Source organism: Homo sapiens, chromosome 1 (assembly GCF_000001405.40).
Source record: "Homo sapiens chromosome 1, GRCh38.p14 Primary Assembly".
NCBI classification, from domain to species: Eukaryota; Metazoa; Chordata; class Mammalia; order Primates; family Hominidae; genus Homo; species Homo sapiens.
The window spans coordinates 207,801,358-207,824,039 of record NC_000001.11 but is presented as its reverse complement, the minus strand read 5'-3'; the positions used below and the strand labels follow the sequence as shown (position 1 = coordinate 207,824,039).

The window sequence follows — 22,682 nt, the reverse complement described above, 5'->3', positions numbered from 1 at the left end:
TGAGAGAGCGAGCGAGCAAGCAAGCTCCGTCGATAGGTCTGCTAGCAACAGCCGTGCTGCAGCAGAGAGAGAGAGAGAAATCAAGAAACAAGTCATAGCAACACCGGGCACCAGGTTCTGCCAGCTCACTTGCTGAGCGTTCAGAGATCTGTCAGGGCCAGAGGCCTCTGGGTAGCCTAGGCTAGGAGATGACACGCAAGGTGGCACGGGCGGTTCCCGTGGGGAGGAGGTGGGGTGGTGGTGGGGGGCAGGGGTGGGAGCAAGAGGTTGTGGGGCGACGGTGGAGGGTTTGATGGGACCAAATTCTGGAACATTCGGGACTGCGGCACCTTACGGCGGGACCAAGATTTGGGTCTGCGCAGGCGGCGATGGGTGGTCCGACGGGCTTCAGGACTTGATGGCGTAACCCCCTTCTTCCCCCACGTATGTATTTGCTGGGATCAGGGGCGCTGTCTCTGTGTATGTGGGTGCTCTGTCTTTCTCACCTTCTTTCTCGATTTTTGCTATTTATTTCTCTGAGGGAGGGTTTTTTCCCACTTTAATTTCTTTTCCCTAGTGTCAGCTGCTCAAGCCTGACCAGGGTAGAGGTGAGAGGAGTGAACCATCCCCTGCTTCCCACCTGACCTCCCAGCTTTTACCCTATTTCCTTCTAGTGGACAGACAGACTGGTTCTCCAAGTTGTTTGGGTGTCAGCGTCCATCTGTCTGTCCGTGCAGGTCTTATGTGGAAGGTAAGGGAGTGAGAAGTGCCGAAAGGAAGACAGAGGGACAGTTTTTTCCCAGGGGTTGCCTTATTGAAAGGTCTGGCCCTGGGATTCTGAGGCTGGTGGGGAGCCGAGTGGCCAGGGTGGGGTGTGGGCTGGGAGAAGTGGGGTAAAGCTGGTAGGTTTGTCACTGCGTAGTTGGGAAAAGTGGGGAATGGTGACGCAGTCACTGTTGCATCTGGTTAGGAGCTCTATGGGGACAGGTAGTGAGGCTCCTGGGGTCTCTGTGGCCAGCTGAGAGGGGTTAAGGATGAGCTAAGAAGGGAAGCTAGCATTTAGAGATTAAATGTCATCCTTTTGGCGTTGGAAAGTTGTTTACCTTGCGCTCTCTGTGTCTCCATGTTGGCTCCCTTCCAGTTCACATGTGATGGCCTTCCCTGTACTGCTGCATCATTAACTAAGTGACTGAGCTGGCCTTCCATTGGCCAGGGGAGGGCTCTCCCTCCAGACACTTCCTCTGATTGGTGGGTGGGCCAATGGCAGGTGAAAAGCTTTTTTTGATTGGCTCAGGGCAGGGTATCAAATCTGAATTTGCATTTCACTTGCTTAAAGGGGAGCGGGGAGAAGCCCAGCAGCTTTCTAAAATCTCTTTAGGGGTGTGCGTAGGCTCCTGTGTCTATGCCTGCTTTTGACTGCCCAGTTGAAGCCTCTTCCTATGCCTTTTAAAATTTCACGCACTATAAGGAGGAAGAGCTCAGGGCTCCCAAAACTTTTTATTTAGAGGGAAGAATGCTAGGGAGATGGGTATGCAGAGGGTTGACCAAATTGGAAGAAAATATTTATTCTGTAGTTTGGTGTTGGAAAAGGGAATTTTCCAATCAGCCACACCTCAGTGTTGCGGCAAAATAATTCTTGGCTCCCCTGGAAACGCATGGGCAAGGTAGGGCAGAGCTGCTGCTGCTGATACTGCCACCACCCTGGGCTTCCTGCTGACTCTGGGCTACTCCCTGGGGACAACAGATTTGCATTGACGTCCGGGGCTGTCCAGAGGCCCTCAAGAGCCAGTTGTGAGCTGAGCCCAGTATGGGAAAGATCTACCTTCTGGAAGCTACTACTACGTGGTGCTTGGAAAGGTGAGGATGGGGGACTGACCCCAGGAAATTGCTCGAAACTCCGCATCTGGTGGGATTTCCAGAAAAGTCAGTGGGAGACGGGAGGTTTGGAGGCCCCGGGTTAGAAAGGTTTGTCAGTCTAGGGAATGAGGAGAATCAGAATAAAACTAGGGCAGCAGGCTGTCCGCCTTTGGTTGGGGGAGGGAGGCCTCGAAAAATCAGGGTCCCGGCTCTCTAACCTGTCTTTGTCGCAGGTCTCACGTTTGTGGGGAGGGGGTTTACCAAGCCCTGCGCCATGCGCAGTGGCCCCCACCCGTGACTGCGCATCTGGAAGCGCAGTGCGCCCTGGGTCTCTGGCCTAGGACGAGCACCGCCCTTCTTATTACATAACTGAGGGCATGGCACGCGCCTTCTCGGCCCTTCCTTGCAACCCTACCTTCTTGCTCCCCAGGGCCCATAGAGCTGGGGAGGGTCTGACTGGGTAGCAGTGAAGGACTGCAATCCCTGGGAGGGCTAACTCTTGTCTAGTTACTGGCAGGAGCCAAGCTTGAGGACAAAAGTGGTGGTTTTCTAGCCTCATCTTGGGGAAGAGGCTACAGAACATCCTTCTGAGTGCCCCATACCACCTATGGCCCCTAGGGCCTCTCTGGTGGAGGGGGTGGCACCCTTCTTTCACTCATGTCCCATCTGATTTTTGAGAGGATGTTTCTGAAGGAAAAGATGTGATGATTATCGGGGGCTTGGTTGGGAGGTAGTTTTGACAGTTTACTCCCCTTGTCACTGGCTTCCCCTCTTTTCCCTGGGTGGGTTTATGATCTTTCTGGACTCCTCTGATGAGCTGCCATTTTGGAGCCATTTCTGCTGGTCTCCGACATGGTGGCGTTGGTTTTTCTGTCCTGCTGTGCCAGTTCCGCAGAGTGGGCGGGGGGCGGGGGCTATGACGGAGGAGGGGAAGGGGGGGCAAAAGCACAGCAGAGGCAGGCACAGTGGTGGCTGCCGCAATGAAGGTGGCTCTAGGGGCAGAGCCGCCTAGTCCCACCCTTGGACACAGTCCTGGGTGGGGATTCAGGTGGAAGGCGTCTGGGTAGGGGTTCAACACCTGGGCCCGGCTTTGCCAGAGCGTGGGTTTCCCATGTCCTCATCAGCCTGGTGCTTGGAGTAGTTCGGAAAAGCTGAGTGTCTGAATGAGAGTGGAGGCAGAGGCTCGGCAGCTCATCTCAGACGTGTCAGACCCGTGGTTTGTGTTCCCCAAATAGGCTCTGTCTCCAGCAGCCTCCCTGTGGGGACAGGGAAGTGAGGTCCATGGCAGCTTTGAGGATCTGTTCGGATGGTCCTGCCTGCTTACTGTTTTTCTTCTCTTTCTCCTCCATGCCCCCTGCCAGTGCCATGGTTCCAGCTGTAGTCCTCTTGTGAGGCTCCCCGCTGCCCGTTCCCCCTCTCTCCAGGCCCTTCTGCGTGCAGCGGCCATCTTGTCTTTCTTGCTCAGAAACTTAAAATGGTTTCTCATAATTCCCAGAGTAAAATTCCTTCCCTTTAGCGTGATGCTCAATGCTGGCCGTAACTGGCCTTAGGTTTCCTGTACAGTCTTACCTCTCTCAGTTTCTTTTGGTGGACCATAGGTTCCAACAAAACCAGGCAACTTCCTTTTCCTATCTGTTTTCACCAGTGATGTTTTCCATGCCTCTTCTCCTCTGCATCCACCTGTGGCAGTCTCACTTTCTCCGTGGACCTCTCCTGATTTCCTTGGCAAGAAGCAGTTCTCATAACCACCCCTGCCCTTTCAGCCAAACTTCCATACAGTCTGTCCCTTTTTATGGTACTTTTGTTGTGTTATGATTATTTGTGTATAAGTCTTATGTCACCTATCAGATTGGGAGCTCCAGGAGGGAGGCTAGAGAAAGGAGAAGGAAAACAAATACCTATTTGGTGCCTTCTGTTTGACAGATACCATGTTATACACTTTCCCTGCAGTTACTTCATTTACTCCTTTCCACAGCCCTGTGGGGAGCATCCCATGTCTAGTAAGTGGCCTGGTCATGACTAGAGCCCTGGTCTTCCAAAGCCTTTACATTTTTCCTCTCTGAATTACTGGTGTTTACAAGATGGCTGTTATGAAGTAGATCCCCAAAATTTGTCTATTTAAGGAATTTTGTAAGTCCCTAATGCTCTGAGGGAGTTTGGGTGGTCAATCTTGTGTCCATGGTCTGGGTCCCTCAGCTGTTCCTTGACACTGTCATTAACTTTCTCCTCTTCCTTTGTGGTCAGGTTCACTCAAGATGATGGCTTTTTTCTTGTAGCTGAAATTGATGGATTAACTGACTCAGTTATCCTGGTTGCCTTCCTCGTACAAGAGGAGGGAGAGGTGGAGTGGGATACAGCATCTTCAAAGCCAGAATAAGCTCCAGAATTAGAGAGCAGGGAGCAGAGACACTGGACTTGAACAGACCTAGGTTTTCATTGTGATCCTTCTTCTTAGCTGAGTGACTTTAGACAAGTCATATGATTTAAGTTTTCAGTGAGATGGAGCTACTACAACTGTTATACAGAAATGCCTAATATATTGGCAGCAAATAGGTTCCCATCCCTACCCAGTGGTTTATCAGGGACTTAAAATGGGAGCATAGCAGGGGGCTAGAGAAGAAATGGGGGAGACAGGAGCTCCTGTGCCCTAAGTGGTATCACAGCAGGGGCGCAGAGGAGGTAACCTAGGCGTTACGCCCTTCAAGCCTGCAAGGTGTACTGTCCCCCACCTGCCATAAATACCCCTTTACTTCTGCATCAGGAACATGCCATGGCATCTGAGTGGTGGGGGCTGGTGACGGCAGAGGGAGGGTCAGTGAGCTTTCCTGGGAGCCTTTTGATGCCAGGTTAGTTTCCCTTCTTTCTGAATCTCAGCAGTGGCTGCCTGCTTCCCTGACGCTGCTGAGTCCCACGGGAGGGGAGCTGGGCACCCTGAAGCCCCTCGTTACCAATTCGGGGGCCGCGGAGCAGAGTGTGACGACAGCCAGTGAGTCGTCAGTCGACGGCAATGGGGACCCTGGTGACGGCTGCTTTGTTGTTTTTTTTCCTCTTTGGAAGATGACTCAGTGTATCGGGAGCCGGGAGATGGAGCTCTCAGCAGAGTGGCCAGGATGTTCTGTCAACATGAAAGCTACAAAAACAGCTCGGGGCTCTGAGCTGATCCTTAGCCTGGGGTCATTTTCAGGGAGGGCTGGACAGAGAAGGCGGCCACCGCCCGGGCATCAGGATGGGAGCGACACCAGGTAACTCAGCAGGGCTCTGGGAACCCTTGCATTTTAGAGTCTGAAAAGAAAATAACAGCTGTATGTGTTATTAGATGAGCTTGGCAAATAGGGTCACTTTTTGAGTTCTTCCCACTAGTCCCAGATGACAGACATCTTCCCAGGGCCCAGAAAGCCCTTTGGGATTTTTCACCGTGGTTCTCTTTGTGATAGTCTTGCTGGTCATTGCCTTGAATGAAGGGCGATTCGCTTCTTGGGGTAGGGGTGGGCCAGGCCGACCTCAGTGAATGCGGGCGCACCTGTACCTTGGGAGAAGTGGCCGTGGTGGGGCTGTGGCGTCTTGAGAGTCCTCTGCCGGGCGGCGCTTCAAGATGGCGGATCCGCATCACCGTCACTAAGCTAAAGGCTGGCTCTTGGGCAGCCTGCGTCAGCCTCCCCTTTCCATATTGACCCAAATCAGAGCTTCTCTTCTCCCCTTCATCTTCTTCCTTTTCTTCTTAGGTGAAACAGTGGGCCTTGAGTTCTTGACCCTTTTAATTTTGTTTGCGTCATCATGGCGGCTGTGGGTTCTAGGCTTTTCTCCATACCGCAGCTTTGCGCTATAGGCGCGTGATCCCCCCGCCCTGCCCCGCCCCGTCCCGCCCCGTCCCGTCCCGTCCCGCCCCGCCCCGCCCCGCCCCGCCCCGCCCCGCCCCGCCCCGCCCCGCCCCACCCCACCCCACCTTCTTGCGACCGAGAGAGAAGATGCACCTCCACTGCCACTGAATGCGGACAAACCGTCCTCCCCTTTCTCTTCTCTACCCCCTCTGCTGGAGCGTGGGGCAGAGGGACAAACAATTGCTTATGAGGATGAGGGACAACTTGGCCGCAGCCCCCTCCCTCCTTTCACTGGGTACTATTTTTCAGTCTCATGCTTTCCCGCGGATGATGCTAGCAGTGACATTTGTCACTGAGCACCTCCTCTTCTCTCCAAGGACCTCCCAGGGTGACTCATTTGGGATCTCTGGTAGGAGTGGCTCCTGGGCCTTGGGAGCCAGAGCAGGGCAGGGAGATGTGACCGAGGTCACATGAGAGAGTTAAGCAGGGCAGGGGGTGGGAGCCAGCCATCCCCACTCAGAGTGCAAAGGCAGACACAGCCGCTTCATGTCATGTTTTGCACCCGAGTAGAGAGCAGCTTGACCTAAAAAGATTGTATGTATATGGACGTTGGAACCTTTCGTGTCTCATTTTCTTTGTCCCAAGCTGTGTATATGATAAGAGCCTGGATTTCGGGCTTCAGGCAGCTCTGTGGTCTCTCAGGTTCATTTTCTGAAAGAGGTGGTAAACAGACCCTCCTTCATCAGACCCTGCATCTTCTGTTACTGGCCTTTCTCCAGGACATAGGTCCCATGTCATTTTGCCCAACATTGTCTTGCGTCTTTCATTGGATGGCGGGCAACAGCTAAGGGTCATCATCCCAGAGCCACATACTAACCCAGATGGGCCCCTGGTTGGGATCTGCTGGATTCATTGCTTGGTTGGCTCTGTGAGCTGAGCCCACCTATCTTCCTTTCTCTTCTTCCTCATAGAGGACTCAGGAGAGTGCAGCTTGCTCTGTGAGTGGGTGACAACCTCTTGGCGACTCAGGCTCAGCTGAGGATGGTGCCAGTGTGCCGGAGACAGCCGTCATACTGCCGGATAGAGTGGCTCACTTGCATGTATTTGGAACAAAAAAAGGAGATGCCTGGCAGCCCCGCTCTCTGCAGTAAGTATTCATCTGCATTCTTTTACATTCCTTTATTTCTTCGAACATCAGAAATGGGTAGATGTTTATTGAGCCCAGCCACCTGCTATGCCTTCTCCATTCTTCTCCCACACACCCCACCCTTAGTCCTCCAGAAGAGAGGACTAGATTGATTTTCTCATGCTACTGGATAGCTGCAGAGAAGCTAGAATTTGCTGTTCAGCCCCCACACATCCCCCTCACATTTGGGAGAAGTTGATTTTCCCTAAAATGGAGCCAACAGCCTGTGTCCCTCAGTGTGGAGTGTTAATGGGCTGCCTGGAAGGACCCTGTGTGCCCTCACGGCCCCCAGCCGGGAAGTGAGGCTCCCCATTGGCTGGCAGTGGGAGGATGGTCCTTGCCAGCACCTAGCATGGTTCTCTGCCAAGTTCTAGCTCCACATCTCCAGGCTGGTAGGAACCTAGACTATATATAGCATTGTGCTAAGCAATTCTTATCAGACGTGTCTGCCCTCCCCTGTGGGAGTGGAGCACTTCTATCAGAGAACCAGAACCTAGAGAGCATGAGCCATCTCCAAGGGCCTTTTATTCTGGGAAGGGGTGTGTGTGTGTGTGTGTGTGTGTGTGTGTGTGTGTGTGTGTGTGTCTGTCTGTCTGGTTCAGGGCTGCTTACTTTCCTCCTGTATTGCAGATGCTGATAGATTGAAAGGTCGTGCTAGATGAAGGTGCTGATGTGGGATGAGGGCCAGGAAGGGCTAATAGCTCTGCGATGGATATTGAGCTTAGAGGGAGAGAAGCTAGGGGCATGTGACATGGCTGAGGGTACAGTTGAGCCCTGCCTCCGCTTTCTCTTCCTGGTTTCCTGTTTGCCATGCTTTGCCTAAGGATGTCTTTTGACCTCTCTCTTCCTTCTTTCGGACCTCTTGCATTCCCTGCCTTCCTCCACCACTTCCTCCTCCCTTTGATTTTCTTTAGGATATATGAGGGCAAACACAGTGACTGGCATCCTGGGTCTGTGTCTACTCTTCATCCTTACCCATTTGGGGTTTCTGGAGATCTGGCTCCAGTTGGGCAGAGAGGGCTCAGCTGTCCTCTGGAGGAGTTTTGGTGGTGGGTGAGCATGTTGTGTTGGCTGGTTCAGGGCAGGGTGGGTTGGATATTCCCCTCTTTCCTCTCATAGGTGCTGTTGAGCCACCAATTTTTGTGGTTTTGTGACCACAAGTGCTGACTGATGCGACATGACCCCAGTCTTGTCAGTGAATCATCACCAGGCTGCTTACTGGAAACTGGATGCAGCAAGGAAATAGGATTTAACCGCTCTCTGCCTCCCAGGTAAGTCCAGTGTGGGCTGCTCCCTCCAGCCTTCCCCCATCCTCCTTCCTTCCCACGAACACCATTTTCCTTATTCCGCCGGGGAATCCTCAGACGTCTCCATTCAGAATCTCCCAAACGATTGTTCTCTTTTTTGCATTCTTCTCCTTCTGGCTTTTCTGTGTGGGGTTAGTAACCAGCACAGGGTTGGGGGCAGAATGGGCAGCTGAAGTGGTCGGGCTGTGCGGACGTGTGGGAGATAGCTGGGTAGTGTTGCTGGGTGTGGCAGTTGGCAGAGCATTTGGGCCTCCCACAGTAATAGAAACTCTCTTTGGCTCCAGCATCCAGCAGGAGGTTCTGGGTTTAACCCCTCGGTAATCCTGGGAGCCTTCCTGGTGCCTGGGGATTCTCTCCCCTGTGTAGTCTCAGTGGATGGCCTGTCTTAACTCTAGATACATTTTGCCTTGAGGGGGCTTAGTCTAGGTTGGTGGTCTGGAGTTTGGACTGGGCTGAGCAGTGAGCTTTGGGACTCTCCCTAATTTTGGGGTTTCTTTGAATGAGCCACTTTCTTCCTCTAGGCCTTCATTACCTTTGCCTTAAAAAACAAAATCCCTGGTCCAGTAAGCCATTGCAAAGCATCTCTAGGAAGTTGACAAAGAAATGCTTTTCTTCTGCCTCACTTGCTGCCGATCACAGTAATAGCAATGGTGATTAAAAATGAAAAATGATGACGGCCTGCAGAATCAGGGAGGTCAGTGGCATCATTGATACAATTCACAAAGCAGACTCTCGGTGCCCACACATCACTAGGAAGTCTCTCTCCTATCGAGTAGATGACTACAGCATTCTTGGCCAGTAAAGCCAGTTGGAATTAGCCAACAGCAGATTGGTCTGGGCTCTAAAGATAAAAGGAATTATGTTGGGTAATTTTCGGAGGTACCTATGGGATCCTACCTCTGGCCACACAGTGGTCGCCTCTCTCTGCTCATATGTTTCGGTGGGGGTGGGGGGTTCCTCTTCCCCATGCTGCTCCCGTTGCTATCCAGGGAAGATTGGCCAATTCTGCTTCCTGTTATTTCTTCTTCTCCTCTGTCCATTTGAGGTGAGTCTCTAGGTTGGCTGTGAACAGCCTGAGGAACCCAGGGCTGTTTGGAAGAATCTGATGTCTCTTCCTTCAAGGACCCTGACAGGTCTCAGCCCTCCAGCAGTACTGCAGTGAGGGATGGCAGGGGGTGTTGGAGTGGAGAGATATCGACTTGGGTGCAGCTGGGGAGACTAAAAGGAGTGAGCCAAGTCCCTCAAGAAGTGTTGGCTAGAGTCTGGCCAGCCCTGGCTGTAGGGCTGGAGCCAGACGTAGCTGCTGGCTGTGCTTGGGAGTCTCAGCCCTCATATGTGCAGTGTGTCCCTGGGCATGGCTCTTCGTGATCCCCACTCCCACGAATAGCCCTGTCCTTGGTTAGATTGGGAAAACCAGGGTGGGAAGTAAAGGGGAGGTTGGTTTTGCTCGTGGTCATGCAGTTATCTCTCTGGCCTCTGATGTTTCCAGAATTGGGATTGGTGCTTCCCTGCTGATTTTCCTATTTTTGTCCCTCATCTGGTTCTTTTCCTCCTTGCTCACCAGCCTGGGTTCTACACACATGACATGGGGCATTGTGTGTTCCCAATGAGGATAGCAGAACAGTTGGTATCTCCTGAGAGAGGGGCCAGCATATCTGGCACTTTTTTCTTGACCTTTGAATTTCTGAGGTCTGGGAGTCAGGAGGCAGCATGGGGCCTCTCCATCCGGGATCCAGCAGAGGTTAACAGAGTTGGTGGCTCTGGAGCTGAGGTGGTGTGGCTTGGCTGGGAGTTGTGGGGGAGAGGCCCTGCCAGGGGCCCTGATTGGTCAGTACCTTCTCTATTCCATTGAATCCTGGTCCGGTCAGCTCTGTGAATTGTTTAATGCATATCTTGGCTCTGTCCCCTGGCTCGAGTGTCCCTAAGGCTGCAGCCACAGCTTTAGAGAGGATCTGTACCTTGTGCTGGTCACTTTTTTTGGGCGTGTTACCTCCCTCTGAGATATGTAAGAGATACCACCCTTTCCCACCAGCCGGCTGTCTGTGGGAGGCCCTCATTTTGCTTTGCTTTTCTGAGACTTGGAGTGACTGTGAGGAAAGCATGGACTGAGTTTGCTTTCTTGCTGGTTCCTTCCACAAGAGCTGCTCATGGGCTGATAAAGCCAGAGAACACCTCCAGGGCCCCATGGCCTGTGCGGAGCCTGGTACCATAGTGTCAAGCCTACAGGGATGGACTGGGGACATGGGGGCAGATAGAGCCACGTGGGGAGGTGGTATGTGTGGTTAGATCACAGGAGCAAGTCCAGGAGGGTGTGGGAGGACAAGTCCAGTGCTCAGCCAGGGCTGCCTGTCATGGCCCAGGATGGATGTGTGCATCTCCTGTGAAGGATTTGCGTCTGAGTGCCTGGTACTGAAGGTAGGATGGTGCCCCGATCAGGGTCTATAATGAGGCATGAAGGTATGAGATGGGCATCAGAGTTGTTGGTCCAAGGGAAACTGACCTTTTTAAAGGGCTCTCCTCTCCTTATCTGATTTCATCCTCAGAACAACCATATGACATAGGGATCACTTCCCTTTTATAGTTAAAGAAACAGATTAAGTGACTTAACCCAAGGTTATGCATTTGGTAAGTGAGGTTGTTGAGATTTAAATGCATGCACTTCTTATTCCAAAGCCTCTACGTTATCTTTACTCTTTTGGGCTGAAGTCAGACATTTTTGTGAACTAAGATTCTCAGAGGACTGATGTGAACCAGAGTGAAAAGGCAGACACCCGAAGGAACTTTCCAGTCACTGGGGACGGTTGTGCCGCATTCCTTTAGGGGGAGGCAGGGCAGACCCAAATGCCCTTTGGTAGCCATGGACAGGCAGAGCTGAGTAAGGCCAGTACATGGCGTCTGCTGCTGTGTACGGAGCCTCTGCTATGTGCCAGGGACTGTGCCAGGCGCTAGAGATACAGAACTTGACAAAGCCAACTTTCCACTTTCATGGGGCATACATTCTAGTGTGGAGAGACACCGCTAATAATGATTTTTAAAAAGAATTTAAAAATGTACAGGGTAGACATATATGGAGATTGTGTGGGGATGAAAAGGGGGACCCCCCACACACATAAGGAGGAGAATTCAGATGATGGTCAGAGGGTTCTAGAGACTTAGGACCTCAGCCATCTGAAGCCACATCAATTGAGCTTTCCTTCAGGGAGTTAGGACTGACACAAACTAACCCCCTCTTTTTTCCTAATAACTTGGGAAATCCATCCAAGGTCCCCATGGCTTACAGGAACTTGTCGTGAGTCAGGGATCAAGGTGGAGTAGATGTCAAGCCTTTGGTCTCCGGCAGACTGGTTCTCTCCTGTCTGCCATGGTTGCTGTTGGCCTTCTGCCTCACACCCTCCCAGGCACCAGCTGACTTCTTTCCTCAGCCTGGTCACTGTGCCCCACACTTGTCCATGCAGCACAGGGAAACGTGCAGGTTAGGTCTTTGCCGAGCCATTGGTCAAATGTTCCTGCAGGAGGCTGGTTCTGAACTCAGCCTGTCCTGCCAGAACGAGCCGTTCCCAGAGCTAATCGTCTCACGATAGGGAAGGGATGGGCACCAGGCATAGAGAAGTGACCTGTGCCAGATGCTTGGTTGAGCTGTGTCTTGAGAGGCGGAGGCAGGTTGGTGGTGCTGGGGACAGGGCAGGCATGTGTCATGTGTTCAGCGCATGTAGCTCCAGGGCTCGGGACTTGTTTACTTGGTGGAAGAGGCAGCGGACCTGCGGAGTCAGGCCATGTGATTGTTGGCTCTTTGGCTGATCATGGACAGCTGACCCGCCGGACTGCACACACTGCCATCTGCTGCCAGGGGTCTGAAGTTGCACAGGGATGAGGTAGTGTAGTTGGGGGTGCTCAGGGAGGAGGAGGGTCAGGAAAGTGGGGTTTGTGTTGCTCTGTGTTGAGTCAGCCGACCCTGATTCTGGTCCTAGCTCTTGTTGGTAAAAACTCACTCACTTTCCTCCTTTCAGCTCCAGTTTCATTATCTATGAAATGAGGGGATGGAACCAGAATCTCTTTGGAGGTTCCAGCTGTATCCTGGGGCCTCCCTGAATGTTCATGGAGATGTTCCTTAGCCAGTAATTCAAGATGAGGAAAACTAGGCCCAGGTTTCCACAAGAGAAGGGGAGGGATCTTGATGACCTGTCTCAGAGCGGCTGAAGTGGTACTGTTGGAATTAGGGTGGGTGGGTGGGAGGAGGTAGTTTTTAAAGACCTCCCAGAAGTGGAAGCAGAGGGCTGGAGGTTTCGTGAAGGTGTTGATGAGGATCCACCGGGTGGTAGGGGACATGGCTACGCGCTTCCCCCGGGAGGCTTGTTGGAGATGGGTTTATGTGGGAGCTGCTGGGGGTGCCTGCTGTCCTGCAAGGGGCTGACCCAAGGGACCCTGCTCTAGGAAAGATGCTCCGTCCTGTCTGGCCCTAAACCCTGGAGAGAGAATGCAGCTGTGGTTTGAGGGAGGGTCTGTGCCCCTTGCTGTCAGGAAGTTTTCCTTTATATTTAGCCTTCTCTTTTCATGTATTTTTTGAGGCCCTCGACTAAAAAATTAAATTTAATTTTAAAAAATAACAATGAAAAAAATAAAAAATAAACAAAAATATCTCAGAGCCACTGGTTCCATTTTGGCTTTTTAGTCTTGAGTCACTCTTAAAAAGATAGCAAAATAAAACACATGCAGGAAAGCCGAAGGTCCCAGGCCCAGCCAGATGGGGGCTAGGAGTGGCTGGGACTCTGGCCTAGCTTCTCCATGGCAGCGTTAGTCCCAGACGTACACCACTTCTGCAAGGCTGTGTGGGTAGGAGCCCCTGGGGCTGAGGGGGCACATTGTGCAATCTGCTAAGCAGAATGTAGAGTTTTAAAATAGCTACCTTTCTCCAAGACACTATCTGCTTGCCGCTTTGTGGGATGTTTACCTGGGATTAATAATAGCTGAGTGCCACCCCACTGCCAGTATGGAATAGCAAACAGCGATCTGGGCTAGGACTCAGGCAGGAGAGGAATGGAGTAATAACCATCGTATCAGCTCACATAGTTCTTTTCATACTTGCTGGCTCATTTGGTCCTCACACAACCCTGAGAGGGTAGGTGGTCTTATCCTTGTCGTTGGTAAAACTGAACCTGAGAGTCAATCCTGCCAAGATCTGACTGCTTGTAGCCGCTTCTCGTGGGTCTCCCATCTAGGTCCTCTGACTTCAGCTGTTATTTCTCTGGGTTCTGACTAGTGGGGCAGGGACAGGAGTAGGGGAGTGGAGTCTTTGGCAGTTTCCTTAATTTCTGAAGGCCTTAGAGGGCCTAGAGATGCCTTTTCTATGTGTTGAATGGGAAACGGAACCTCAGCATGTCCAGGTTCTCCAACTCTCTGATTCTTCAGACTTCTTGGAGCTCTTGTGAGAACTGGCTTGCACTTTTTGGCTGGGAAGCCAGCCACTCACCATGTGTTCTTGGAGAGGTTTCCTGTATTTGGAAGCTTCTGGAATATGTGATGCATCAAACCACTGTGACACATCTGTATGGCACCTCATGCCTATGCACACAGGCATGCTTCTGCTGAGTGCAGCTCACTTAGAGATGAGGCCCAGTGTAGGGTTTTTGAAATTTTTCCAACACATTTGTAAGAGATGCCCTGAGCCTTGCCCAGCATGCATGTTGTGTGTATGCTACCTGTTTGCTGGCTAATGTACAGCGCCTGCTGGAAGCCTTGGCTAATGTACAATGTAAAGTAAGGGACTAGAAACACTGGCTTTAGTTCTGAGTGTCTGCTTCATGATTGACTTGAAAAAGTAGGGCTTACCCACAGAGAGAAAGGTGGGTAAGAGAACTCGTGGGTGTCAGTTTTCCTTAAAGGCAGAGCATAATCCCCCACTCTTTATAAGGGCTGGTAAGGCAGAGTATTGGACAGCAGGACTTCTTGGCCAGTTAGCCCTCTTGAGTGACCTTTGTTTAAATAGACCCAGAACTTGTATGAAGGAGGAAATAATGGTTTATCTTTATTTACAGCGGATTTAGCCATGATGGTTTAGGCTTTTTCTGGGGGTATTCCTTTAGGACAGTTGAGGTTGGACAGGGGCAGCATGCATATGTGTCTCTAAATGTCTGTCCTTTGGTATTTCCTGAATGCATCCTTGGCTCATACTGAAACCCTGTGATGGGGAATCCACAGCGGAATTGTTTTAGTGGATAAAGCCTTCTGTAGCTTCATGTGTGAAGATTTGTCATGTTGGATCCAGTTCATTCTGTCCACTTGAAGGATGGAAAAGAGAGTGGGCAGAACTTGCAGCAAGGAGAGTGATTTGGGCTAGACTTCTGGGAGAACTGTGCATCACCTCTGCTGAGGGTTCCTGAGGAAAGATGAAGCCTCTTTATTTGAGGTAGGAGACTCGGTGTCCTCCACAGGATCCTCCCAGTCCCAAGTCTGTGGCACTTTGAGACAGTCCCTGGAACAGCATGAGGTTTGGGTGCCAGGATCTAGAGCAGGCATTTCTCTCCATCTTTCCCATCTGTCTTCAAGACAGGCCCAAGCTGGATGCAATTGAGGGGATGCATGGGCAGGGTACACCAATGTGGTCATCGAATCTGGAACTTTGACCTTGTTTCCCTTTGCAGAGAGAACTTCTGGCACTGATCTTATAGGAACTGGTGTTATTTGCATATAAAAAAAGAGAAAGGCATGTTGTCCCTCATCTTTTCCAGGAAAGAGTGCTGAGCTGCTCTAATCCTATGGTGGGGAGGGAGGAGGGCCGTGTAGAGGACGCAAGGCCAGACATGGTTTGCTGGGAAGAAGGTAGGAGGTGGGAGAGGAACATCCCAGGGCAGGCCCACAACTCTGGGAGCCACAGACATTGCCTGCTATACTAAAGGCAAAGGGATGTGTTCAAATAGGCCTACTATTTAGCGGTAACCCACAGTCTGAAATAAATCAGTTAATGGCTAAATGAGAGTTGTATTAAATATGGAAAATCATATTTTTTGTGTGTCATCACCACCTACAGATTTAGCATCAACAGGCCTGAAAGGCTGAGGATGCTGAAATGGGCCCTGTCCGTAAGATCATGCTTATTTTATAATGACTTTTTGTCTCTTTTCATTACTATTTCCCACTCTTATTCCTTAGGTCTACGTGAATATTTATTTATGCAGTTGTGTTATTTCCTTGGGGTACAGTTCTTCCAGTGTCATTGGCATCAATGAATATGTGACTTTGATTTCAAGTGTAAACAAACCACTGGTTCACGGCAGGGACAAGCCATCTCTGAGACAAGGGCTCCAGCAGCTGCCTACAGATGCCCTTCCCCCAATAGCCCTGGACTGTTTCGGCCAGACGCCTGAGACGAGAGTCAAGGGTGTTCTTGCAGGGACCTGCCCAACGCTATGTCATGTGTCCTGCCTGGAGGGTGGTGCTCACACATGCATCTTCCAGCCTTATTAGCTGGTACTGCTTTTCAGCTTGACCCGAGGAGTGGTATTGGAAGTTTGAGACCGTACATCCCTTGCTAGGTGAGAAGGGGGTCAGAGAGGTCAGGCACAGACAGAGAAGGGAACGCAGGCTCCTGGCCACTAGCCTCTCTCAAGACAGGTGAACTTTGTGTTAAGCGAACTCATTTAATATTTTGGGCCTAATAGAAGTTATTTGTATTTTCTCTCCTCTCTTTTCCCTCCTCTCTCTCACTCACCCTCCCCCCACTCCCCAGCCTCCAAAGAATTTAATCTGCTGGACAACAAACAATACTGTTATAAAACTTTGAAAACAAGAGGGCGCGGCCTCCCTGACAAGGAGAAGGGCATGTTGGGTAACGGCCTGAGGGAGCGTGCCAGGCCTGAGATGGAGCCGGGCGAGAGCCCAGTTGGCTGGGTACCTGGGCGCCTGCCCCTGCATAGCCCACTAGCCGCGCCATCCCCAGGCCAGAGGGGAAGGAACCAAAACAAAATGGGGGGCAGAGAAACGCTTGAAAAGGGAAGTTGCACATGTTCCCCTCTCTCTGATCTGATGGGAATGCACTAGACTGTGAAACTTCCTCCTCCACCTCTTCTCCCGAGTCCCTCCCTCCCTCTTACCCTCCTTCCTCCTCTCTCCTCCCTCCTTTCTCCTCCTTCCTCCTCCTGCTACTCACTGTTCTTGAGTCTGGCAGACAGAGGTCCTGATAGCAGAATGAGGCTGGAATAGCACCATAGGTGCAGCTACCAGCTGGGCCAGCCAAAGAGGAAGGAGAGAAAGTGGGCTTGCAGTTGGCTTTGGATTCAAATCTACCCTCTGTCTGGCCCAGCCTCCCTCCATTCTATTAGGGAAGTGGAACTACATCACGCCACAGGGTGTGCCCAGTCCATGTGTGTGGACCAGGTGTGTGCCCAGGTACTGGGGAGAACTGCCACTCAGAGATTAGTTCAGGAAGCACCCTGGGCTTCCTGGTGCCCCCCTTGGGCTGTGCTCTGCTCTGGGGAGAGTGTTTGACTTGTTGAAATGCTCTCTCCTTTGAGATGCTGTGCTCTCCCTCCAGGGAGGAGCAGAGGCTGTGCTGCAAGAGGCTGGGGCATGTCTCTGGAGGAGCTCTTGGGAACAGGAACGTGCTTCTCCCAGCGAGAGCAGCCATGCCGTCTTGTGAGTGTGGTGCCTGGTAGGATACTGCATCTGTTAGTTACTTCCCAGTGGCTGAAGGAAGTGGTCACCAGCTCTGCCTGGGGGAGGTGGGGGAGCTGGGCTTTGGGGCGTCTCCCTCCCTACCTCCAGAGTTAGGTTTCACCTGAGACTGTGGTTTCACTTTTGACTCCATCTTCACTGAGTCAAGCAGATGATTTAGGAATGACCAGGGAGCAGCATTGGTGGTTTGCCTTTGGATCTGCATTGGTTTGGACCCATGAACTCTGTGGTGGGCATTGTGTTTGTGTAATAGACCATTGGTATGCTCATTTTTCCTCTTGCAGAAAGCACTAGCTTTCTTGAAAGCAGTTCAGGGACATGCCCATCCTTCTGTGCCAGAGCTGAGCCCTTCTACTGGGGGAACATGGAGACACGCGAGCTCCAGTCTTCATTCCACTCCTCCTCCTTCCCTTTGCCCTCCACTGTCTCCTGCTGTCCCCCCAGCTCATCCCAGGGGCAGGGTAACCTTGGTGCATCCTCCCATCCAGCCAGCAGTCCCGACCCAGGGCCCCCGTGCCTGGACTGAGTCTGGGGTTTATGTCAGTAGTGTTAAGGGAGGGATGGAAAACTGAACTTTTAGGAGTGCAGCTGCCTAGGAACATAGACCTCCATACCTCTGACGCAGGGGAAACCAGAAAAACCGATGCTGGGTCCACGTAGGCTTGGAAGGCTGTTACTTTTTGCCTTCTTACCTGAATAGGAATTTGAGGGGCACTGTGGGTTTGGAGGATGTGATTCCCACACTGGGGCTCAGGGCCTGGGAAATGCAGTGGTCCCTGGGTTCTGAGTCCTCCTTTGAAGGCCACCCTGCCAGAAAGGAAGAGCCTGATGGAGGTTTCTGGGGACTTTGGGCCAGCCGGTAACTCCATGCTCCCTCTGCTCCACCCTTGGCCCCTCATGTGTATACCATTCCTTTTATCACCCTTCCCTCTGATTCACAGCCCCCACCCTGACAGCTAAAGACAGAATGCCCAGGCTGCTGCCTAGAATGACAGGAAGCTGGACTGCCCTTTCAGTTTATACATGCAATGGCCTGGGACTGTCTCTTGAGGGCAAGACATTCCCCTTTTACAAAAGAGCCTTCCCCAGGCCCCTCTCTCACCAAGATGAGCTCTTCCTTGCTGCCAGGAGCCCTGAAATCAGCATTCCCAGAGGAAAGAAGATGGCCATCTGGGCTTGGCTTCCGGCTCCCCCCATCTGGCTGGAACACACATCAGTCACGTAAGTAGCTGTGACTCAGCACCCAGCACTGCCTTGGCAGAACCTTCCCACGTTCTGGATTTGCACACACTGTGGTAGCGCAGCACAAGCAAGCAGGGTTAGGTAACTGGGGACCAGTGTCTGTTTGTTCAGTGGGTTTGCCTATGGATTTCAGAAAGAAGGATTCCCTCACCTTCCCATTTTCCTCCCATGTTATTTTTTAGGTACCATGCTAGGCTTTAAAGACAAAGCATCATTTATAGAATGAAGTAGAAGCTGTCTTTGCAGTCTCCAAACTATTTTTAACCAACAGCCTATAGATGGTATTTAACCCTCAGGTGTGTTTGGCCTGCACGGGTTTTTGTTTTTGTTTGAGACAGGGTTTCACTCTGTAGCCCAGGCTGGAGTGCAGTGGCACGATATCAGCTTGCTGCAACCTCTGCCTCCCGGGCTCGAGCAGTTCTCATGCCTCAGCCTCCTGAGTAGCTGGGACTACAGGTGCCACCACACCTGGCTAGGGTTATTTTAATGTATCTGATTTTGCATGCATTTAGACAAAATATGGCCTCTCCAGTTCACTGTATTTCTGCTGCATGCTGTTGCTGCTTCTCTGTCTCAGGTTTCCTGCCCAAGCCCTCCGAGCATTTGAATGTGCTGTGAGCAGCCTACCTCAGCCTCCTCTCTTTACACATGAAGACACTGAGGCCCATTCAGGGCAAGTGGCAGGTCCCTGTTCTCAGAGTTGGGGCCAAGCAGGTATTAAAACCATTGTGTTCTGATTCACTGTGTGCCCAAGCAGATTAATGCCCTGGTGTGAGGTCGAGAAGCCTCCAGGTAGAATGTGGGGACAGAAGTGGACCAGGCTAGAGTATAGCTCCCACACCTTTCCCATGCGTGGCAGCACTCGTAAGACTGACATGCCCACCCTTCTGGATGGGTGGTTTTCCTCCCCAGACAGCCCTGCCAACCCTTTCACCTTCAGCCAGTTTGTTTGGAGTCATTAGGCTGAGGTGGGTAAAACCCATCACCCTCCTTGGATGGCAGAGCTCTCAGCAGGCTGGGATTTTCATGGGCTGCCTTCTTACAGGTCTAGGTGGCCTTCAGGCATGGTGCCAGGGAAAGCAAGCCCCTTCCAGCCCTTACCAAACTAACTGGCTGCTTCCTAGTAGGGAACAGCCACCAGCTTGTTTCAGCGAAGAGTCATTGCTCAGCTGATTCTGAGAGGAGAAAACTGGTTCTGTTGGGAGGGCTGAGACCTGAAGGACCCCTTTTATCCAGTGGAATTGGAAAGGCAAAGGATTTCAATACTAACATGATTTTTTTCTCCACTTCTTTTAGAGTGTTTAATTAAAGTGATGCATTGTTAATGGCTTCTTATCTCTTCTTCCAGAGAGTAAAGAGTTAAATTTTAGAATCCAGGAGTGGGGACCCAGACTGTGGCTTCTGTTAACTCCCTCAGTGGCAGTGGCGTCCTGCTATGCACAGCCCCTCTGCTGTACTCCGAATGGTCCCTTACGGGTAGCAGGAGAGACATTAAATAATCACACTGATGACCAAGTGAGATAAGTGGTTTTTGAAGGAAAGAACTTGAGGCTGGCGAGGACCACTTAACCTTCTAGCAAGGGCTGGACTCAGGGAGGCTTTCCTGAGCTGCGGGGAGGATGACAGGTTCCCTGGAGTGGTGGTGGGTGGGGGCGGGGCTGAGGGGTGGTAGCCAAGGGAGGGTGAAGGAGAGTATTCCAGAAGAGACAACAGCTTAGGCAGGCAGGACCTCGCCATGGAGGAAGGTGCTTTCTGATCACTGCGGGACACCTGTGTGATAGCTCATAGGGAGGGGGTACTGGTAACTAAAAGTTGATAAGGAAGAGTGGCTAAAATGAAAAGCAGAAAAGTGAGAATCTCATCAAATCCCCTCATTTGACAGGATTTGGACTCCCAGTAGTAACTGTCCTTAAACACTCACTCCTGACCTTACAACCCTGGCTGTTACCTGGTTAACAAGCCCCAGGTGTTGGCTACAGGTGTCATCACTGAGAGCCCTTGTGTGCAGATCTGCCCCAGCTCTCCCACCTGTGACTGAGGCTAGCAAGTCCCCCGTGGGCTGTAGAGCCTAGCGCTGGTGTCAGAATCGCTTGTTGCAGGTTCATCTTCAGTGTCTTTCCCACAGCCACATGCTGGGGAAAGACGGCAAAGGCGCTAGAGGAGCAGGAGAACAAAGCAAGCTGCCCCAGACCACCCGGCTTTCGCAGAACCCAGATGATGCTCCTGTCTCCCCCTAAGTATAACGTGTTATGTAGTCAGTATGATCCCATTCAGTGCAGAAGTATCGCCTAGGAATTTCCTGCCCCACCCACCCTGTTTTGTTCTTAATGAAGTTCAAGAACAAAATGAGATGATAGTCAAGTTATGGAGCAGGCTGCAGTGGATACAAGGGCAGAAACACAGTCTTTGGAGTTAGACCTGGGATCTGCATTGATTGGTTGTGTGACTGCAGACAAGTTATTTAGCCTCATTAAGGATGAATTTCTTCGCAAAAATTGGAATAATACCTGCCCCATACGACTGTTGTGAGAATTAAACACCGCAACTTTTGATGTTCAAATTCTATTTCTTCTCCTTCTAGCAACACATACTGTTAGTGCCAGGAACCATAAAAATTATAAGGCTGTATCTAGAGGCCTGAAAGGAAGCTAAAATATACAGTGTCTACTCTGTCTCTTTTCTCTTGGTTATGGTATCAGAGGAAATACACATATTTTCTTAGCTTCAAACCACCAAAAAAGATGATGCAGTAAGGAGATGGGAAATCTAATTTGGAATACAGTGTGCAAATCTTATTTTCAAGCAGACTTTGAAAATAAAACTCAATTCTTACGTTAGAGGATTATCTGCTTAATACAATTATAGGGTACCAGTTTTTGAAGTCACATCGGGGTTAAATAAGATTGCAGGTTCATGGGGTCATATTTGAATGTTCTGATACTTACATATGGGGTGGGAAGGAGGAATGCATGCTTTTCTCAAGTTAAGACACATAAAAGAGTTGTCCTGGCCCAGGTGAGACTCGCCTTTGTGTAGCAGCTGGAGCTTCATTCCACAGGCAGATAGGGTGCTTGTGTCCTGATGAAGTAAGAGAATATATCTGGAAACACTTTGTGTACTGTGAAATACTATACAAATGCAGGGCAGTACAAATGTAAATATTAATGTATTTTAGTAATAATTTTAGCTTTTATTTCATCATATATAATAATTTGTAGTGACTGGTGTGAAGTTAAATAGAATTAACCTAGAATTAATGAGTTTTGTATTGCTCTCATCTATTTGAAGCATCAGCTGTGCCTTTCATGTTGCCTTGTGCAGCCCTGTGTAACCTCCTCTGTGCCTTTCCCATGGAGCACTGTGTCATATCACAAGTAGAACTACAAGAAGATATTTCTCCTCAGGGCAGAGGCTGGGTCTTCCGATTGAATCTCCCTTCTTTCTTCATTGAGATCCTCTTCTTCTGGAAGCTGGTTTCACATGGTGGCTTAGATTTTTCCATCTTTGTATCTAGCACCATTTGAAATCAGTGTTTTAGGAGTAAGAATTGCAGCACAGCCAAGGGTGGACTGCAGAGGAACTGCTGCTCATGGAACTGGCTCCTCTCCTCTTGCCACTTGAGTCTGTTCGAGAAGTCCAGGGAAGAACTTGAAGAGCAAAATACACTCTTGAGTTTGTTGGGTTTTGGGAGAGGTGACAGTAGAGAAGGGGGTTGTGTTTAAAATAAACACAGTGGCTTGAGCAGGGGCAGAGGTTGTGATGCTATTTCTGTTGACTCCTAGCAGCCATCACCAGCATGAATGTGTTCGTAGGGCCTTTGAGTGTGGCGATTGTCATATTCTGTTGGATAACAATGTATTGGGTGTCGATTGTCATGGGGCAGGGGAGAGGGCAGTACACCTGGAGGACCATTTTGTCCACATCGACACCATCAGTCTGCTCTTAGAGGATGCCCTGGAGTATTCGGCGTTGATTGCGGGGCACCCGAAATCAGACTTGCCACCTGGACTGTCGAGGTGCAGACCCTGGGAGCACCACTGGCCCATCTCTTACACAGGCTGACCGATTTCTCCTGGTGTTCAGAGTCTGTTTTTGTCTAGCACCATTTGAAATCGGTTATGATGTAGGGGGAAAAGCAGCAGCCTCGAAGCCTCATGCCAACTCTGGGCAGCAGCAGCCTGTGGTTTCCTGGAAGATGGATGGGCAGAGAATAGGGAAGGAAGATCATGCTTTTCCCTACTAACTTCTGTAACTGCATGTATGATACATTATTGCAGAGGTAAGAGATAGTTTAATGGATTTTTAAAAACAAATTACTATAATTTATCTGATGTTCTCTAGTTGCATTTTGCTGAAATGTAGTGCTGTTCTAAATTCTGTAAATTGATTGCTGTTGAATTATCTTTCTGTTGAGAAGAGTCTATTCATGCATCCTGACCTTAATAAATACTATGTTCAGTTTATCATGTCTGTGTTTTTCATCTATTATTTCCCATTCATAATTCTGTGATGATAAGAAGTGGGTCCTGAAAAATTAATTGGCTGTGCAGATCTTGCCTACTTCATAAAGAATTTGAAGTAGGTTACAGCCAGCCAGACATTAAAAATGAAGCCCATTAAGAGAAG

The 22,682-nt window shown here is 50.6% G+C and overlaps 2 long non-coding RNA genes and 2 other non-coding genes across 5 annotated transcripts, besides 4 other annotated features; 3 read left to right on the top strand and 1 right to left on the bottom strand.

The window, feature by feature from the left end:
* Positions 1,147 to 1,326: a silencer, noted in NCBI's record as "silent region_1775". NCBI's record gives its function as "represses an Ori minimal core promoter by ATAC-STARR-seq in GM12878 lymphoblastoid cells {active_cell/tissue: GM12878}" and the evidence as "EXISTENCE:reporter gene assay evidence [ECO:0000049][PMID:35858748]".
* MIR29B2CHG (MIR29B2 and MIR29C host gene) lies at positions 1,337 to 22,522 on the top strand. 2 transcript variants are annotated; one of them, NR_135299.1, is made up of 6 exons: positions 1,337 to 1,836; positions 4,894 to 5,078; positions 6,626 to 6,801; positions 7,960 to 8,111; positions 17,943 to 18,035; positions 21,378 to 22,522. It is a non-coding gene; the product is annotated as an MIR29B2 and MIR29C host gene (long non-coding RNA). The 2 variants fall into 2 exon arrangements; NR_135298.1 differs by lacking the exon at positions 4,894 to 5,078.
* LOC148696 (uncharacterized) lies at positions 1,444 to 5,661 on the bottom strand. The gene has a single exon (NR_026817.1). It is a non-coding gene; the product is annotated as an uncharacterized LOC148696 (long non-coding RNA).
* Positions 1,467 to 1,646: an enhancer, noted in NCBI's record as "active region_2453". NCBI's record gives its function as "activates an Ori minimal core promoter by ATAC-STARR-seq in GM12878 lymphoblastoid cells {active_cell/tissue: GM12878}" and the evidence as "EXISTENCE:reporter gene assay evidence [ECO:0000049][PMID:35858748]".
* Positions 4,782 to 5,076: a silencer, noted in NCBI's record as "tiled region #9321; K562 Repressive non-DNase unmatched - State 2:TssF". NCBI's record gives its function as "represses a minimal TATA promoter and a strong SV40 promoter by Sharpr-MPRA in K562 cells {active_cell/tissue: K562}" and the evidence as "EXISTENCE:reporter gene assay evidence [ECO:0000049][PMID:27701403]".
* Positions 17,174 to 18,373: an enhancer, noted in NCBI's record as "MED14-independent group 3 enhancer chr1:207979012-207980211 (GRCh37/hg19 assembly coordinates)". NCBI's record gives its function as "activates an origin of replication core promoter dependent on BRD2, BRD4, P300/CBP and CDK7 cofactors, and independent of MED14, by STARR-seq in HCT116 cells {active_cell/tissue: HCT116}" and the evidence as "EXISTENCE:reporter gene assay evidence [ECO:0000049][PMID:35650434]".
* Positions 21,517 to 21,597, top strand: MIR29B2 (microRNA 29b-2). Its single transcript, NR_029518.1, has one exon. It is a non-coding gene; the product is annotated as a microRNA 29b-2 (primary transcript).
* Positions 22,101 to 22,188, top strand: MIR29C (microRNA 29c). The gene has a single exon (NR_029832.1). It is a non-coding gene; the product is annotated as a microRNA 29c (primary transcript).
* Positions 22,523 to 22,682: the final 160 nt, after the last annotated feature.